This window comes from Homo sapiens, chromosome 2, assembly GCF_000001405.40.
Source record: "Homo sapiens chromosome 2, GRCh38.p14 Primary Assembly".
In the NCBI taxonomy this organism is placed as follows: Eukaryota; Metazoa; Chordata; class Mammalia; order Primates; family Hominidae; genus Homo; species Homo sapiens.
This window is the reverse complement of record NC_000002.12, coordinates 58,562,235-58,583,058: the sequence shown is the minus strand read 5'-3', so window position 1 is coordinate 58,583,058 and position 20,824 is coordinate 58,562,235. Positions and strand designations below refer to the sequence as shown.

General features: G+C 37.1%; 1 long non-coding RNA gene across 1 annotated transcript in view, besides 1 other annotated feature; it reads right to left on the bottom strand.

Annotated features, from left to right (window-relative positions):
* LINC01122 (long intergenic non-protein coding RNA 1122) overlaps nucleotides 1–20,824 on the bottom strand; it is a 543,014-nt gene that overhangs the window by 480,708 nt on the left and 41,482 nt on the right. The window lies entirely within an intron of this gene.
* Nucleotides 9,587–10,465: an enhancer, noted in NCBI's record as "VISTA enhancer hs1071". NCBI's record gives its function as "enhancer in: ear[4/10]" and the evidence as "EXISTENCE:transgenic organism evidence [ECO:0001131][PMID:17130149]".

The window sequence follows — 20,824 nt, the reverse complement described above, 5'->3', positions numbered from 1 at the left end:
CCATTTTGCCATGGGGTGGCAAATGCCACTCCCCCTGCTGTGCATCAAGGGATGCAAAATAGCTGTTTAAAGGGGAGTGGAGAGCAGAGGGAATAAATGTTTCTTGTGCAAGTTAAAAACTTCACTTGTTAGTATAATATCTCCCTTTGCCTTCTTCTTTTATTAGTATAATTAGATCAGATATGCAGATGGAAGCAAAGAGCAAATCATTATAGGAGTTAATACCATGTCCATTTTATTTGGAGTCCATGAGAAAGGAAAAAGTAATCTTTTCCATTATTTCCTTTTTTCTTTTTGTTTCTTTTGTCAGCAGTGATAGAGAACATAAGTCAGAGAGAAAGAGAAGAAAAGAGAAGAAAAAAATCAATTGGAAAAAGAGCCCAATATTTAGGAAAACAGCACTAACTTCATTTTTCTTAATTATCTTTTAAGGTAATTAGTTAAAAATAAGCAGAATATCTGTGATCTTTTTCTATGTTTATAGGACTTCCCAATCTGTTTTTCAGCTGTTTTTCTAATCCCTGGTTTGAGTACACTGGTTTGACTACAGGCTCAGCCTGTCTATACTTAGTAGATTTGATGGTTTTGGTAACCAATTACTTCAGTCTACATTGTCAAATACGGACTTTGCATAGGGCCTTAAACCACTGAAGAAACCTGGAGATGGAGGGTGGGGAGGAGAGGATCATTCAATGAACACCCTTGTTGTGGCAAGTGCACAGGTTTTATAGCCAAAGAGATCTGTATTTTAGTCAAAGCAGTTTCCTCTCCTTCCACATAAGGGATAATCCCCAAATCACAGAGTTGTGAAGTTGTTTTGAGGAGTAAATAAGATAAATATTTGTAAAGGGCTTACCAGGGTACCTACATAGTAGCTGTTCAATCAATTTTAATTCCAGGTCTATTTTCACTAAGGAACACAATAGAACTTTATACCAGAATGTCCTTCTCAGAATTCCACAAGGCTGCATGGTACGCTGGAGCTTATTTTTAATAGATGTCAGCCTGTGATACAGGGAAACACAAGCTAAATACAGTAAGTCCTCACATAACTTTATGGATAGGTTCTTGGAAACATCAACTTCAAGTAAAATGATATATAATGAAACCAACTTTACCACAGGCTAATTGATAAAAAACAAGAGTTAAGTTCCTACAGCATATTTCTGGTCACAAAACATCAGCTAACTTCTAAATAAATCCCCAAAACACTTCTAATATTAAACATGGAAAGAAATGTGAGTTCTACAAACATTTAAGAAAAAATAAAAACAAGTAAGATAATGATTTATCTGCTTATTCCAGTTCAGAGTCACAGATGGCCAGGGCCCATCACAGCAGCTCAGGGGGCGTGGCAGGAACCAGCACTGGCCAGGATGCCATCCCACGGCAGGGCGCACTCACATACACACCCACACTCGCTCACATCAGGACCACTTAGACACATCCATTCTCCACATGTGCACAGCTTTCAGATGTGGAGGAAACAAGCACCTGGAGAAAACCCTCACAGGCAAGGGGAGAACATGCAACTCCACACAGACAGTGGTCCCGGATAGGAATCCATTTTTTTTTTTCTCATCAACATTATAACGAAATAATGTTGAACAAAATGTTATTCAAGGACCTGCTGTACTGAGATTAATCTTCAAAGCAAATGTTAAGAGACCAATATATGTTATATTTTCCTAAATAAAAATAATTTTATTTTCTTTGTTTTAGGTTAGTGTGCAATTCCTTCCCATTTCACAGTTTATATAATTTGGTAAATAGCAGAAGAGAACAGAGGTGGAGGAAGCAGTATCATTAAGAGAAAATAGCAGAATGGGGAGAGGTCCACCACTGTGTTTCTGGTTTCTAATTTAATAGGGTCTGTGGCAGATTGCTAAGACTCAGACATATCTGTATTCACCTCTTTTTGGCACCCAACTAAACCACCTTTCTGGGCTACTCCTGCCGTTAGATAGAGCCACATAGCTGAATTCTAGCCAAGCAGATAGGTATCTGCATATACAGAAATGAAAGGTGCTATTTCTAGGCCTGGCATCTAAAAACTCTTACCAGTCCACCATGCTATTTCCTTGTTGTCTATCCTCACTGTCAGGATAGAAAGGATCCCGCCAAGAACACTGAGTCTTCGGGAGACAGGGTGGGATAGACCACTGGGTGGAAAGAATGTGGGTCCCTAAATGACAGAGAAGGGAAGCACCCCTCCCCGCATTCTATTATAATTGGACTACATCAAGGAGTAACAAAACTTTGCCATGTTGTGTTATCCCGTGGTGAATTTAGACTTTTTGTTACAACCATCAGGCTATCCTGACTAGAATGAGGTCATAAGGCAAGGTGAGCAGTTTTAGTTTTTCTGAGAAGCTTCCTTTGATTAGAAATAGAATTCTAGATATAATTAATTTGATTTGTATCAGAAAAGAAGATGCCCTAAAATCACTTTTAAAGTTTTAAATAAAAATTGACAAAGATAATATAATCCCACTATCTAATGTAATATATAACCTTACACTATTTTGTTAAAAGAATCTGATTCTTTTAACAAAGGAGTTTCTTCTAGGACCATAAGTGTTTTATAAAGTAATAAATGATTACTATGCATGACTATATATTGTGTTTTCAAGCAGCACTCTCTACGTAACTACAGGACAGGAAAATTAACACTTGTAGAATAAATAAACCAATACATATAGATGTTCATTAAAGAGAAATTAGTTTCACTCAACAAAAGGTTTCATCAAAAACATGATTCCAATCAGTGTGCTCTGTTTTCCTGAGGGCAAATTTCCAGGCTAAATGCTTCATTAGCAAATAATCATGACACCCTGAGCTTTGTGCTCCTTCTGAACTGGGGAAATGTGAGTGGGCCACATGTAAAGGATGGATATAGAGACATGCTGAACACAAAAGCTCTGAAATCAATAAGTAAAATGAAAACATATGCATGCTACAAACCCACTCACATGGGCCAACATGGATGCCACATGGGAAAACAATGTCAACAGAGAGAAGCAAAACTGAATATTATTACATTTCTAATAATTCAATAGGTAAAGAATCTCCAGATGGTCTAATATTCTATCATTCGCTATGCTGATCAACACATTTTAAAAAATCTTAAAATATCGCTTGCACCTGTCAATATTAGACTTTTTTTGTAAACTGTGTGCATTTTTTTCAGTGTTTATTTAAGCATCTAAATAGCCTGTTGGTTATGAGCCTATTAGCATGAGGTTAAATGTTCTTCAAGGGCAAAGAGCTAAAGGTCCATCAAGTTTGCTTAACTTGCTTACATAATAGCACCCTGCAATCCAGATGGTCTATTAATAAACACTTGTGAAGACAAGAATTACGGTATACTCATGAGGACAGAAAATATAAGATATGGCTTAGTTCAAGTGAAGGTATGCTCCGAAACTATTTTAAATCAAGAAACAGAGACTACAGCCAATAGATACAGAATGACAAGTCTTTAGAAGAAATGAAGTAAACACATAATCACATGGTAATATGGTTTGACTGTGTCCCCACCCAAATATCATCTTGAATTGTAGCTCTCATAATTTCCACAGGACCCAGTGGGAGGTATTTGAATCATAGGGGCAAGTTTTTCCCATGCTGTTCATGTGATAGTGAATAAGTCTCATGAGATCTGAAGGTTTTATAAAGGGCAGATCCCCTGCTCAAGCTCTTGCCTGCCACCATGTAAGATGTGCCCTTGCTCCTCCTTCACCTTTAGCCATGATTGTAAGGCCTCCCCAGCCACGTGGAACTACGAGTTCATTAAACCTTTTTTTCCTTATAAATTACCCAGTCTCGGGTATGTCTTTTTTAGCAGCGTGAGAACAGACTAACACACATGCACGTAACAAATAATTTACTATCTGGACCCTACTTATATCTAGCTATCTATAAAAAAATGGCATGAGACTGTCAGTCAGAAGGTGAAAGAAAAAGAGAAAAGTAGGACAACTCGTGTTTGTTAAACACCTACTGTGTAACAAGTGCTCTCCTTCCCACATCGCCCTGGAAACATATCTTTTCAAAGCCTGTAATCCCAGCACTTTGGGAGGCCAAGGCGAGGCTAATTACTTGAGGTCAGGAGTTCCAGACCAGCCTGGCCAACATGGTAAAACCCTGTCACTACTAAAAACACAAAAATTAGTCGGGTGTGATGGCAGGCACCTGAAATCCCAGCTACTCGGGAGCCTGAGGCACGAGAATCACTTGAACCCGGGATGAGGAGGTTGCAGTGAGCTGAGATCATGCAACTGCACTCCAGCCTGGGTGATAGAGCAAGACTCAGTCTCAAAAAAAAAAAAAGGTATCAGTGACTTCTCACGGTTTTCCATATTCAGCCTGCACCTCTCCACTGAGCCCCAAACCAACACATTTGCTGAACTTCTAGCTCATAGCTTCACTGGAATATCCTATAGGCTTCTCAAATTTTAACACAGGTTAACTCAACTTGGATCTTCCTGCCTCCCCACACCTGTTTCTGCCACAGATTGAATAATAACTCCTTTTTTCCAGTTTCTCGGGCCAAAAAAAATCTAAGTCCTTGACTCATCTCTTTTCTCACACTCCACATCCAATCCAACAGCAAATCCTGCAGAATCTGACTACTTCTCACACCTCCGCTGACACCAAACTGCAGAGGGAGTTCCCCTTTTGAAAACAGAATTAGATCTTGTTATTCTCTTACTCAAAACCTCCAACAGGTTTCCATCATTTTAAGATAAAAACCAGAGTCCTTAAAATAACCCACAAGGTCCAGCATGATCTGGCCTCACAGGCAGCTCCCTGACTTTTTCTTCCTCTGGTCTCCTACCCACTTATTCCACTTTGGCCATCCAGGCCTTTGTGCATTTCCTCACATATGCCAAGCACACCTCTGCCTCGGGCCCCTTGCACTTGCTGTTTCCCTGCCTTGAACACTCTTCCCAGTGAGACTTTTGTTCAAATGCTATCTTTTCTGATGACCTTACTTAAAACTACCATCTCTCCACCTGGCACCTTAGCATCCCCTATTCCCCTTTTTTTTTTTTGGCTTTTTTCCGTAGCATATATTACATTTGCTATTTGCTTATTTTCTCTCATCTCTTATTAGAATGCAAGCTATATGAGAAATATTTTTCTATTTTGTTTTCTGCTATATTTCCAGAGACAAGAAATCAAAAAATATGTGTTAATATTCATGCTTGGGAGGATTATATTATTTTACTTAATTCAAATGGACACTTGGAGTTAGTAATTATCTCACTTAATAGTTAAAAAAGCTTAGGCTCAGAAACAATAAATAATTGTCCAGGTAGCAAAGGTAGGAAGAGGCAGATGGATGTCTCCATCAAGGTCTGTTTGATATCTTTGCTATCTTTTGGGACACCTTGTTTCTGTCATACCACCAACCTTTACATAAAACATACTACACCTTATTTACTTAAAGCCTTCTTGGGCTCTAAAGTCTGAGATGAGTCAAGTATTTTGTTATTGTTTTGTTTTTTTATCTTTCCCTAATCCATTTCATCGGGTTTGGGGTCGTATTCAAATTTTTAAAATGATTGTATCTAAAAATTGAAATAACGTTACATCAAATTTTTCCTAAAGTATTTCCTTCAAAGTTTACATATTAACTAACCAGAAACAGATTCATGGATATGAACCAACTTCCCAGGGTATATCTGAAATTTATAAAACATTTCCTTTGGTTTCATGCTATAAGAAAAAAAAAAAGTTTGAAAAATAAGTTTCATGGGCTGATCATAATTTGGAATTTTTTCTAATCTTCCTGTACTGATATAATTGATTTTTCATTTAACAAATGCATAAAAGAAAAAAGAAAGAGGTTTTATTGAATATTGACAATTAAAAAATTAAAAATAATAAAAAAGCAAAGGAGAAAGAAGGGAGGAGAGTTGAGTGTAGGAACAGGGAAGTAGGAAAAGGAGAAGAAGGAAAAGAAGAATTAAAATGAGGAGAGAAAGAGAGGCAGGGAGGAAGAGAGACAGGAAAAGATGAGGGCCAAGAATGTTCTACTTTACAAATGGGTAATAATTATTCTTATTCACATTGGCTTCCTGAAACATAGAGAAAATTTAAAGAGTTTTCCAAGTAGATTTGGGAAACTTTATAGACTATAATTCAATTCTGAGAGCAATTTACAGTTGAGACTATATGCAGAAGCGAATCCAAAAGCCAAGACTTCATGCCCAGAGAAATGAAATAAACTGTTTCATTGATCTAACTTAGTTTTCCAGATAAAACACAGACACACATTCGGCAGACATTTATGTTAAACCACCTTGATTACTGGGAATTTCCGCAGTTTCTTATGATTCTCAAATTGGCATCCCTTATCATTAACTTATTGGGTATTATTCTGTGGATTCACCCTGTTAAATTTAGAGATGAAAATTAATTTCTTAAGCCTAGACGTTTACAAAAAATTAAAGGTAATTTTTCCTATAAAAAAGATGCAGAAATAATATACCTGCTGCTAACTTCTAAATATTAAGTTTAATATATGGAAAAAGCCTGCTGCAATGAGTATGTGTAAGTCAGGAGGGTGACTTTGAAGCCACACATATTCCTCTTACAAAAGCCAGTTGCTTCTAAAGGGATCAAACATAGATGTTAAAGCTTAACACATAATAAAAACCAACATCTTAGCAAAGTTTCACATCAAAATAACAACTGCTGTTATAACTTCTACAATTTGAGAGTGATTTTTCAATTCTCAAAAAGAGCTAGGTGAGAAGATACCAATTCTGATTCATCTCATTTGCCTCCTAATCATTTTGCATCCTTGCTGCATAAAGTGTAGAATATGGACCAGCCACGCCAGCTTCCCTCGGGAGCTTCTGAGAAATGCAGAATCTTGGAGCCACCCCAGACCTGCTGAACCAGACTCTGCATTTTATCAGGGTCCCCAAGAGATTCACATGCACGTTAGTCTGAGAAGCATTATACACACTACGGTGCAAAGTATTTTTGTTTAAACAAGTTATAAAAATTAAAGTACTAATTGGACTAACAAAAAAAAACCAAAAATAGGGCACAGTTATAGATATTGCAGAACTGATCTATTTGGAAAGAGACTATTCAACTTGGGGTCTCTCATTTCATTTAGGGAAGAAATGCAAATGGAAACCTATATGAAGCAGGTATGGCAACTAGAACATTGACTCAACTAGTCTGAAAGCAGTGTTTTTGAGCTCTGCCAAGAGGACTGCCATTATCACCTCAACAGAAATAATTTCATTCTCAAGTCTAACATTTAAATGATATAAGATTCCAATTTAATTAGGACAACAATGTGAAGCCAGCTCAAATAAAAAGCAAGAACAGTTTTCTAATGGATTTAAATTGGGAGCTTGTGACAGACTATGACAGATGACATATTTACTTTTCGTGGGAGCTAAACGAATACCTCAGATAAAATGTGAACTAAAAACACAGCAAATTTGGAATTAATTAATCCATTGACAACATTTTTTTTGAAAAACACTTTCTCTTATAAAGAAAAATAGATCTGTAAAGCCGAACAGTTAGTTAAAATTGTAACATTTAATACATTATTGGAGCTTAGTAACAAGTTGGGAATTTCACCTTTCTTCAGAAATTGAAGATGCTCTAATCAGAATTAGCCAGGTGTACACAGAGGTCAAACATCATGCTAAAGTTTCACTAAATAGCTTCTATCTGGCCTCTGATCACAAATGCTTCAGATCCCAGGCTTTGACATCTCAATGACTTCAGTATTATGGCTAGGCAGCTGCCACTTACTTCATTTTCAATGTATCCAGCTTTTGCATGCCTCGACTAGGGGCCTTTTGGCAAAATGTTTAATCAAGTCATCATCTAGCATTTTTGTCTTCCTTATCATGGCCTTCGTTTCCTTAAGAAATAGAAAATTCAAATATGACTGTAGAAACTGAGTGGAAAATGAGAATGTAAGTGTACACATGCTTGAAGACATCACGGTGAACTAATGACTAATTACTGTGCAATTGAATACTAATGGAGAGATTCATGAAATCAACATGAACAGGAAATGAACTCAATATGACCAATGGTTCTACAATTAAAATCAAATAAATGCGTAGTAATAGAAAGAACTTAAAAGATATTACTACAACCAGATAATTATTCTTCAGGTTACACTATACTAAAAAATAAACACAATGCTAGGTAGAGGTATCTAGCTTGATATCTTTTGAAAAGTTAATGTGCATCTGAAATGTGAATTATAGTATTGTAATTATCTTCAAATTAAAGTACATAAAACTAGTTCAATAGCAAGTCACTTATTAAAGCAAATCAGATCAACATGAATTTCAGGAAGGAAACTTGAGAGGTTACTTTCTAGGACCGTTTAATTAATTAATTGTCGCTCTGAATATTTAACTCTTTGAGTCTTAGCAGTCCAGTCAGAAAATTTTCAATAGAAAGCAAGTTTAGGGATTGAGAAGAAACACCAAACAAACAGACACATTTTAAAAGCATTAACCTTTAATGCATAAAGAGCTAGTAGCAATGTATAAGGATTGATTAATAAATTTTACAACCACTTTTTTAAAAAATTGCACGTACGTTTCCTTTAGTTCTATTTCATTTACTTTCTTTTCCACAACCCAATGGGCTGAGTAAGGCAGATTGAAATAAACTGCAATATTTTCTCTTGAAATATCTACTCACTTATCAGCTGTGGATCTAATCAAGGACCTAATAAGTCCATAATGGTACATTTGCTTCCCAGGAGAAACCACTGTTTCTCGTCATTCCAGAAAACACCCCCTTGCAAGGTGCAACCAAGAGCCACAGATTCACTGTAACAGTCTAATAATTTGATTGGGAGCCCTAAGGCAGGGATAACTTAAATTACAATTAGAGAGCCCTCACACTGGTGCTAACATCTGTGTACTGAACCACTGTATACTGATTAAAGGTTTTTAAAAGAGAACTAAGTACTTTCCACATTAGAGATGAGTCTAATTCTAATGTCCCTCGTCCTTGGTATGTAATACTTCAACATTCCCTGCTGAGCTTCCTGCTTGTGAGTCCAAAGTATGCACATCCTGGATAATAACTGTCTTGGAAATGTCCAATAAATTGCTCAGGTGTAAATGGGTGGAAGGGCAGAGCCCTGGGAAGAGAAAGAAAGCACTGTTCATTTCATCACTCTTCCTGTGCCTATTTTCCCCGAGTTTGTAGCTGCATAGTTGAGGTGTTTTTGTTTTTGTTTTTCCATTAAAAGAGTGATTCGGCCGGGCGCGGTGGCTCACGCCTGTAATCCCAGCACTTTGGGAGGCCGAGACGGGCGGATCACGAGGTCAGGAGATCGAGACCATCCTGGCTAACACGGTGAAACCCCGTCTCTACTAAAAAAATACAAAAATTTAGCCGGGCATGGTGGCGCGCGCCTGTAGTTCCAGCTACACGGGAGGCTGAGGCAGGAGAATGGCGTGAACCCGGGAGGCGGAGCTTGCAGTGAGTCGAGATCGCGCCACTGCACTCCAGCCTGGGCGACAGAGCGAAACTCCGTCTCAAAAAAAAAAAAAAAAAAAAAAAAAAAGAGTGATTCTAAGTAGAGGGTCAGAACTCAGAGAAATTGCCATGGGGGCACCAATTAATGAAAGTTAAAATGAACGAGGACACACACACTGCATCCCTCAGTGTCCTCCCTGCCTTGTTATTAAATGAATCGTGCATGCAAGGAGAACAGAGTTAGAAGAAAGCAAAGCCAGGAGCTCTCCCCCCATGCCCTAACCACTTCTTTCCTTCCCCCTCCACTCATTAGGGCCTTTTTCAAGCACATGGCTGCTGCAGATGTCCCTGAGAGAACATTTTGTTTCCCCCCTGCATCCAGGCTCAAACACCTGGGCTCTGACATGACGTCCAGTGGAGGCTATTTTCTTTCTCCTTTTTTAAACTTTCCTTTTATTTGGTTTGCATACAAGGCTAATAATGAGGTTTAAAAAACTATACACAATCAGTATACAATTACACTCATCGGGAGCCTGACATGTAATTTCTGATAAACCCATATAACTATGAACAGCAAAAGGAACCACAGAGCGCACACAATGTGTGGGGTCATCAGAACACAATGCCAACACAATCTCTGCGTCATGTCTTGTTGCATAGTATTAATCAGTGCAAACATTGTTTGGGAAATGAGAGGGGAGAGAAAGAGCAGTTTCCCAGCTGCTAGTGCTTTGCCATCAAATCTGATAGTCAGTTCCATGGAATATAAGAAACTTCAGTAATAAAGCTTAGGACCAAATAATGACTCTTGAAGACAGACTACTTAAATTATTCAAAATGAAATCAAATAATAACTCCTTATATATAATCCCAACTCTCCTGATAATTTCACATCAGACATTTCTTTAGCAACTTGTGTATTTTCATAAATTTAGAAAACGTATTTGCATCTTTAACAGGCCACAATTGGCGGGTACTGAACATCCACATTATCCAAATGATCAGTGTTACTGGTTAGTTAATTGCTACAATTTTGATTTATTTCAAATTTTTTATTTCTATATGTTGAAACATAATTATTTTTCTGTTGATTGTTATAGGTAAAGGACACAATAAGGTTTCATTAAGAAAGAATTATCCAGGACCACAAGATGACAGGCTGGGTCACTAGGGAGCACAATGCAATACTATTGTCAATACTATCGATATGTCTTAGGAAAAGTCAGTCTGGGAAATGCAGAAATGTCACAAGCTTTGTTTTACCTTCATTTTAATAGAGCATAGCATGACCTATATGGGAGGGGTTGACTACTTCAATTAGGTTTATGCTATTTTCAATAGGACTTCCAATCAGTGCATTTAGCTGGAAAGCAATTCCTGGCTTTATTATTACTGTTGTCATCCTTAAAATGCATTCTATTTATTTTTTTAATTTACCAGGAGGGGCAAAGGGAAGATGGGAGCAATAAAGAAAAAGGAGCCAGTAACATGCCCTCAGGGACCAATAGCAAAAGGAGAAGAATCATAGGGGAAGAGAGATAGGAGATGAAAATGAAAGACGTATCTTATTAAACCATCATAATTAAGAAGTAATAGGTATTCATAAAGAGACCCATGCCCAAAGGCCTGAAGATGTCTACAGTAGCAAGGGCCAATGTTTTCTAATAAGTAATAATTAACAAATAATCCACAATAAAAAGCAAATGGGACCCCACAAGAATGAGAAGGCAGAAATCTGCCTTCTTACAATTCCCCCCCGCCCTTCATAGTTTAGTGTGAACAGACCTAAACTGAAACACTAAAGAAAAGGAAAATTGGTGACCTCTTTTCAACAACAAGTAAATTCTGACACACACAGAAGTAAAAAGCATTTGATAACAGAGCACCTCATTCTCATCACCTGTAGCTTAAATACGGGATGGTGCCAGCTCTGAACCCTGAGATTACAAAGGCTGCCAGAGATCCAAGGGAATCGGGGCCTGATGATGAAACTGACCCCACATTATTTATTTCGGCACAAGACAGGAATTAATTGGATGGATTTTCCCTTAGCTCCTGCACTTTTTAAGTTAGCTGGACCTAAGACAAGGCTGAAGGGAAGGAGGAATACATTTGGTCCTTGGACACCCCCTAGTGTCTGTACTAGCACAAAAACCACTCGCAGGTATATCCCTTCCTTTCCTGCTATCCGGAACATGAGGGCCAAGATTGGCTCCTCAAGGCGGAAGTCCCAAGACTGCAGCCTCGACGGAAATCTACTTTCCCCTCAGGTCAGGAGGCCAAGTGTCAGACTCCTAACCCCTTTTGGATACTTTCTAGAATTTCTGTTTGCCAGTAACTTCGTGTCAATGTGTTGTAGTTTGTCTCAAGAAAATGTGAAAAATTATAGGTGGAGCCAGGAGGGGCCTATAATTTGCTTCAAGAAAAGAAAAAACAAAAAACCAGATGAATTTCAGTCAATACACTAGATGCAAAATGAAAAAGGGAAATGGAAGAAAAATCTGTTTCGGAGAATATATGGTAGTTTGTCTTCTATAGATAACTTGTGAGTGTTTGAATAAGCATTGTGATGTATTTATGTTTACCCATGTGATTGGATGTGAATACTGAATAAAGTCTGGGAAGACTGCTTGCCACTTCTCTCAGTCAGCGGTTCTTTGAGCAATATTCCATTTGTGTAATGAAGATATAATTTAAAAGTGGCTTAGAAAAGCTTTAGTGTAAGCGCCTTTGAAAGTTCCCATACAAATTATATGTGACTTCCTTTCCATCTAGGTAAATAAATTGTGTGTGTGCATAGGTGTGTGTCCCAGGATATCTGTGGACTAGGCTTCTGTGTTAAAATATTACTAAAATTATGAAGTATTACAATGAGTTTTATCCACTGTCATCTCAAAAGTATAAATGTCTCAGAATGTCATTACTATGTTTGGCTGTTGTAATTACCCAAATCTGCCCCAATACTGACCACAGTTCTAAGGAAACCATCATATATAGTTTTTTGTAGCATAACGCTTTTGCTCAACTGTTTTCAGGAAGCGGTCCATCATTCTATTAAATTTTGCAGCATATATTATGGCAATATAAACTACTTTTTCTTGCTGCATCTGAGAGGGTTGTACTGGAATTTATGCAAGGTCTGACCTTCACAGAATCATACAACTTTAGAGGCCAAGGGTCCTGAGAGACCACCTAATTCACATTCTTATTTAAGGAATGCATTGTTCAAAGTGATTTCATGACTTCCTCAGAGCCATGTGGCCAAGCTGCCAAAGAAGTTCTGCACCCAGCCCGTTTTGGGTCACTGATGTTTCTAAGCATAAAATTCTTTAAGAGGAGCCTGATAGACATGAATATGTCATCTGTGGCTAGACATGGGAAGCCTGACTGTAATATGGGCACCCTCCAAGTTAGGGACACATCTTCTGAAAGGAGAGGGTGTCCCAGGCAGCTCCTACAGTCCCCGGGAAAAGTGTGACTGTGGACCCAAGGGCTCTTCTGTCGTTGATTTTTCATCCATGACTCATACATGAGGCTTACACTGTAGAAAGAGAGGAAAGAAACTACAGAAGAAATGTCAGAAGCATCTTGCACACACACACCCTCCCCGCCCCGCCCCACCACCACCACCACCGCACCCCAAGTGTGTGAATGAAACTGTTTTGTTCCTTCCTCGGCAGGAAATGCTACTGTTTTAAATACCAAACAAAGATAGTGCTTGCTTCTGGTTACAGCCCACACAAAATAAACTTACTTTTAAAAAGAAATCTTGGCATATGGTAACAAAACCTATATAATTCTCTTGATCTTTAATCTCTATGCCAATGTCTGTTTTACAGATTATGGCCTCAGCCCCTGACAAATCTGCTTAGTGAATTTTTGGCTGACAAATCTGGCAACACAAACGCTGTCTGAAATACATTCAAAAGGCTAAACATTTTCATAATAGCTACTTTACATAGCCTAGTAGGTTTCCCTTTAGGACACTAATTAGTTTTTTTTTAAAGTGACAGTGTTAATTTTTATGATTACACACAGAACTGAGATTTTTATTTAATACACTAGGCCTTTTTTTAATGCTTTTCAAGGGGATCAACCACTTTGCCAACAGACGGGTGTTACAGCAGGGGTGATTATAGTAATTTTTCATGTAATTGGGAGTCACCATTTGGTTGCTATCTTTCACATGCTTGTTGACTCATCATATAATCCTTTATAATGGGGGTTTGTTTTATGTCACAGGAACGTGCCAAGCAGCCGGGAAATAACAAACAGAGGAACCCCCCAGCTGGTGGGGACCACAAGGGTTTTTAACATCTGCCCGGTTCTTTAGACTGCACAAAATTTTTATTTAATAGCAGTGACCAAACACTGAGAGAAGGGTTTTGGAGGATTTGGGAAGAATCTGTGTTTTCTCTCAAGAGAAGATGTCTTTTAAAAACAGACTCTATTACATACTGCAGAGAGCACAGTTTTTAAAAGATAAGAAGGTGTAAGCAGTCATTAGAAATATCAGAGTCCCTTTGCCCCTTCCCCTACAGTCAAGAATTTAAGCCAAAAACAAATGCAGCATGTTGTCCCACGGGTTCACTTATCACAATTTCACTTTTCATCTTATCTTTTGAATCCCATCAGTTAGCATAGTGCTTTAATGGAACAAATATATGACCAGAGGTTGCATGCCAATATTAGATGCTGCACAGAGGTCAAAGCTGGAAATTGAGACTCCTCAGTTCTTAGCCCAGCTCTATCATCTTGGGAGAGTCCTGTGAACATAATTAGGGCTCAAATTCCCTTCACATTAAAAGCAAAGAGGAACACTACTATGATTCCTGAGTTTCCCTAAGAAAAAAGTAAAAATAAATAACAGAGTAAGTCTGAAAATATTTCTTGAGTTAAAACACTAAATACTAGGCCTTACAGTTTGACTTGAGATGATAGTTTCTATTAACACTTTGCCATCTGTGAACCAGTAAGGTTGGCAAAGCCATCTATAATGTACATTCTATCTGACGGAGTGCATATTTCCTTTGGAATTTTCCAAGAGTATTGGAACAAAGTTGCTCATTTTTATGAAAAGTATCTGATGAAAGTCTTGTTATTTGTTTATAACAGGTTCAAAGGAATGACTTATTTCAACTTATTAGGAATTGCTTTTTATTCCATTTAAGACCATGACCACTGACAGCCACGCTGTCTAAAGACAACAGCTGAAGTTAGATCAACTGGATCCAACTCTAGAATATTGACTTGATGAAGAACTTAAATTTGCTTTTTAATTTAATTATCTAAATACTATTTCATAATGGAAGCACAACATTAAATATGTCAGATTTTACTTAGTTCCTAAGATCTGAGATAAAGGTAGTTTGCCTAAATAACCATGTGATACAAACTAGCCATAATATGAATTAACCCTAAGTTATCTTCAACAAATCCTATACAGTTATATGTTATATTTTTAAATAAGTAAACATAAGATACAGTTATAAATAAAACATAAGATACAGTTATAAATAAAAGCCTAAAACACAAACCATTTATTTAACCAAGTTTAACTCTTATGACACCAAAGTGAACGCAAAATGAAATTATCCTATTATACAAATGAGTATGTGTCATGTATTTTCAGACTGCTGCTTAACCATAATTATTTCCAGCATTTAATTTCATATACTCACTGCTTTCAAAGGCCATTGGTAGTATAGATTTCTGATAGAAGCTAGCCAAATAGCAGACCATCAAAGAAGATAGTTGGTAAAATTGAAATCTATGTTTATCTAATAATTCCTTAAGAAACTAAAAATAAAGGCAGAAGCCACGAAACAATTTCCTTTATAGTAATTAAAACTGTAAATAAACAGATAACTTTATACTCTGTAGGAACCCCTAAACATTGAGGACACTTTGAGTATTCATTTCTGTCCAGTGCTATAGGAATAAATAAGTAAATTATCCATGTATACATAAAGCTTTCAGAAGCAGTATTAGAAGTTCATTTTATGAATTACAATCAACTTTTAATTTATACCACAGGGAAAAATATCCTTTTGTTAAGTTCAGTTTTACTATTTAGATTGGGAGGACATTGCAGTGATAGTGACTTTTATCCCACTCCTAATGTTCATGACTACAGAATCTACAACATACCAAATTATAAAACCAGCTTAGAGATGACATGCCATTCCTTTCCCCAACAGAGGAAAATATTTTCTCAATGGAATCATATTTAGAAATATAAATATAAATATGCAACATTCTCTTTTCTTTCACAGCTTTACCTTGTTGGGTACGCACAATTTCCTTCTGATGAACTACTTGTATCCAGCCAAATGACAATGATCAAATTATAGAGCAAAAAAATTATGTACTCTTTGTCACATTTCTTTATTACAGAGCTAACAACTTATTTAATTCCATTAATGAATGTGGTTCAGTAATAGTTTATCATTTTCCTCTTTATTTTTTAAAACTGAGAAAAAGAGGGAGGTTCACAGAGACAACAGTGTATTAGGATTGATGTATTCTCCAGTTTTCCTCTTGAGTTTAAAATCATAAACTACTCACTACTGTGAATTCTTAGGAGCAGCCTGTCAGATCCATTGTGATAATTAATATAATGGCATACTGTACATGCCACTGGTGTTAAGGCTGTTATCTTAGTGACTGTTGTAGTTTCTGACAATGCTATTTATAACATTACTATGTTGATAATGATACTAACAAACAATGTTAAACACAAACAACACAAAGTACTTTGCACTATACATACTGCAATAAAGTGAATTTCCTGGCCAGAAGTTGATAATCTAAATTGTGAATGACACCCACAGTACTTGTCTTCAGAGTATCTAAATATTGGATATAAGTGAGGCTTTGCCAAACAAGTACTGGGAAATCAGTTTTATGTAATAGCTCTTCAGATACAAATTGGAAGCTGGAGGATTTTATGAAGATTCAAAAAAGAGAAATCTTTGTTGAGATGAGACTAGTGTGAGCTGAGAAGTTAGTGAAAAGCAAAGCAAAGATTTAGACTGTTAGAATATCAAAAAAGTATATATTTTAGCAGTAACAAAGTAATAACTGAAAAGGAACTTTATTTCCCTAAACTTAGTTTCTGAGTACAAATGCAATATATTTAATTTTAGTAAGTAGACAATACAGAATACTATAAAGAAGAAAATAAAAAAGCATATGTAACACTATCAATGGGTAGATAATTTAAATTTTCAGTTATCTATTTTGTAATAGAGAAGAATCCCAATTAGATAAACACTTTAAGTACTTTTCAAACATTGCATCACAACCCATTGATGGAAGGTACATCAGTTTGGGGGTTTATGATCAGCATCCTTTATTACAATACAGTGGGAGATTGTATAGTATGATGGAAGTTTTTCATAAAACTTTTATTCATATTCGCAGGTTTACGGTCATTATGTAAAACATAATTCTAAGTGTGGGTTGCAGACAAGACACTGAAATTAACTGCTAAAAGACTTCGATTTTCATGACTTTAGTTGATTTATTTGAAAAGGAGAAAGGTGCCAGGCATGGTGGCTCAGACCTGTAATTCCAGCACTTTGGAAGGCCAAGATGAGAGGATGGCATGAACCCAGGAGTTCAAGGCCAGCCTCAGCAACATAGCAAGATGCCATCTCCACAAAAATTTAAAATATTAGCTAGGCATGGTGGCATATGCCTGTACTCCCAGCTACTTGGAAGGCTGAGGTGGGTGGATCACTTGCAGCCAGGAGGTTGAGGCAGCAGTGAGCCATGATCACAACACCGCACTCCAGCTTGGGTGACAAAGCGAGACTGTCTCAAAAATAAATAAATAAGTAAAAAAAGGAAGGAATTTCTATAGCATTCTAATAATGAGACATCTTTTGTAATAAACTTAATCTTGATAAGAAACATCTTTAAGCCAGGCATGGTGACTCAAGCCTGTAATCCCAGCACTTTGTGAGGCTGAGGTAGGCAGATCACCTGAGGTCAAGAGTTCAAGACCAGCCTGGCCAACATGGTGAAAACCTGTCTCTACTAAAAATACAAAAAATTAGCTGGGCATGGTGGCTGGCACCTGTAACCCCAGCTACTTGGGAGGCTGAGGCAGAAGAATCGCTTGAAAGCGGGAGGGGGAGTTTGCAGTGAGTCAAGATCGCGCCACTGCACTCCAGCCTGGGCAACAACAGCAAAACTCCGTCTCAAAAAAAAAAAAAAAAAAGAAATATTTTTAAAATACTGTTTTATTGTGAAACTGGTGAAGATATTAATTGCCTTTCCTTGGTTGCATTCATATATGCTGGATGTCACTGTCATTGAGCTGTTATTTACCTTAGGAGCTCACAAACTAAATATTAATCAAATAACCACACAAATATTTGTAAAGTTTCAGCTGTGATAAATTCCATGGTACTCAGAGGGCCCCAAAAGATAGTATAATCTAATTTAACATAAAAGAGAGTTCAGGGAAGACTGCCCTAGAAAAATAAGATCACTGCATTTTGAAGGATGAGTATGAAGTGAAAAGGAGAGAAGAAAACATTCCAGACAGAGAGGATAGCATATTCAAATGTCTGATCACCACAGGGGTCTCAAGGTGTACAAGGCCAAATGATATTCTACTTCAGATAGTGACCTGCTCTCAAGGAGATTATTACAGATCCTCAGTGACCAGTGGGGAGAGACACTGTCTTTCCTCGATGACAACAAAAAAGGAGCCCAACTCCTTACAAAAGCTTCTCTGCTTGAAATATAAACATGGTGGGTGTTTTAGTTTGTTTTTTATTGCTATCATAGAATACCACAGGCTGGGTAAATTATTTTTAAAAACGGAAATTTATTTATCACTGTTCTGGAGGCTGGTAAGTCCGAGATCAAGGTACTGGGTGTTCACATGAAGAAGAGCAAAAGAGAGTGAACCCACTCCCTCAAACCCTTTTCATAGTAGAATTAATCTATTCATGAGGGCAAAGCCCTCCTGATCTAAACACTTCCCATTAGTTTCCACCTCCCAACACTGTTGCATTTGGAATTAACACACAAATTTTGAGAGACACATCCAAACCATGCAGTGGGTTAGGTGATCTTTTATGTAGACTTCCAATTCTGTTATTTCTTTGTTTATTTTTAAATATATTGATAGTTCCCTTGTAAGTCAGGAAGCTGAAAAGCCTAAAATGTAAATGGACACCTTGAGGGTCAATGTTTGTCTTTATATACAAGTGAATATGCATATACCCCTAAGAGTAATTTCTTCATAAACCACCAATACACCCATTATAACAATAATAGCCCATTAATGCCTCTGCTTAGAGGGAAAAGAACTAAAAAACTTTAAATATATCTAGTATATACTGGCAAGCACATAAATACACACTGAGCAGCTATCATTCTGAATTTGAAAACCTGTGGGGTGAAGGCATATTTTGAGCTCTTGATTCCTTCAACTCTAAAATAATTTTATCAGGTTGTTAGGTATTCAGCATTAGGAAACTTTAACTTAAAGAAAGCTAAAGTTTCTAAAAAGGAAATACATTTAATTTAAGCAGAGAGTTCTGAAAAGCTCAATCTCTAAAGCACTTTTGCACCAACCTAATATTAATATATAAGAGTAGGAAAAAAGAAATAAAAAATGTGAGGTAGGTAAATTTTATCTTTAGAACCATATTATAATACTTTCTCAGAGCCATGTTAGTAGGTAATTCTCTCTCTGGTGCTGACTAACAAAAATTCATTTGTCTTTTAAAGCGTTGTTCTACATTTTATCTGCAGATCCAATTATTCATTTATTCTTTCATTCATTTAACTAACAACACTAGAAACATATAATTATGATTAAAAGTGTTTGTTGTATGATCTAGATATGAAAGAAACCCCTCTAATCCATTTCTTACATAGCAACAGGTATGATTTTGTGAATCTTAATTATGACATTGCCCTGCTTCAATGGTATTCCTCTGCATTTTATTTTATTTTATTTTGAGACACAGTCTTAACTCTGTTGTGAGGTTGGAGTGCAGTGTCACAATCTCGGCTCACTGCAACCTCTGCTTCCTGGGTACAAGAGATTCTCGTGCCTCAGCCTCCCAAGTAGTGGGGATTACAGGTGCCTGCAACCATGCCTGACTAAGTTTTGTATTTTTAGTAGAGATGGGGTTTCATCATGTTGGCCAGGCTGGTCTTGAACTCCTGAGCTCAGGTGATCTGCTCACCTCAGCCTCCCAGAGTGCTGGGATTACAGGCATGAGCCACTGTGCCAGGCCGACCTGCATTTTAGATAAAAATCTAAATCCGTATCATGTCTTCCAAAGCTCTATAAAAATCTGGTCCTTGCCTATTTTCTAGCCTCATCACACCATCCTCAATTACTATGCTCTGGTTATTCCAGTCAGTTTTTATGTCCTACTTGGAGCCTTGACATAGGCCATTTCCTTGGAGGGAACAGAATTATCTCCATTCTTCACCTAGATAATAGTTCCTCATTTTTCAGGTCCCTACTTACATATTCTGACATTCCAAGGAAAATTATGTCCCCCTGAACTTTTTATTCATAATACTTATCAAACTTTATAATCACATATATTTTTACATGAAGTTTTTTTTTTTTAATATTAGTTTTCCCCTCTAAACCATAAGCCCCAGAAAGACAAAGATCATGTCTGGTTCTTTCACTATATAGATAGATAGATAGATAGATAGATAGATAGATAGATAGATAGATAGATATTAGTAGCTAGAGCTTAACTCAATAAATATCTATAGAATGCTTTTGTTTCAATCCTAGGGCCACTACTAATTATTTAGCCTGGCACAAGTCACTTAACCTTCCTAGAATCAATTTTATCCTCTAAAAATGAGTACAATACTACTTTCCTCTTGCATTATATTGAGGTCTAAAAAATACCATGCATACATTTGCCCAGAAAAAGTGTAGGGCTTGATAAATAAATAAATTCCTTTCCCCACCCTGTTCTCTTTTAATTCCATGCACATCTAAAAACGTTTCAACACTCTTGTCCAAAATAAAGAAATGATTCACAAGTCTGGCATTTACCAGCCACTAGTTTACTTTCCCTTCCTACTCCCCAATTAAGAGAAAGCTCATTTTGAGGTTTAATGGAGAGTGTCGCAGGTTCATCAGAGTTCAATTCAGCAGTCTGGAGTGAATCTGTAATAATCCATGACCACAGACCAGTTTGTATTTTTCCACTAATAAAACTCAAGAATGGCTATGTTTAAATGGAATTTTGCAGGTCATTAATCCATTCTAAGGAATGACTTTTTTGGCTGTTTAATTGGGAAACGGTGGTAGAAACAGATTCAG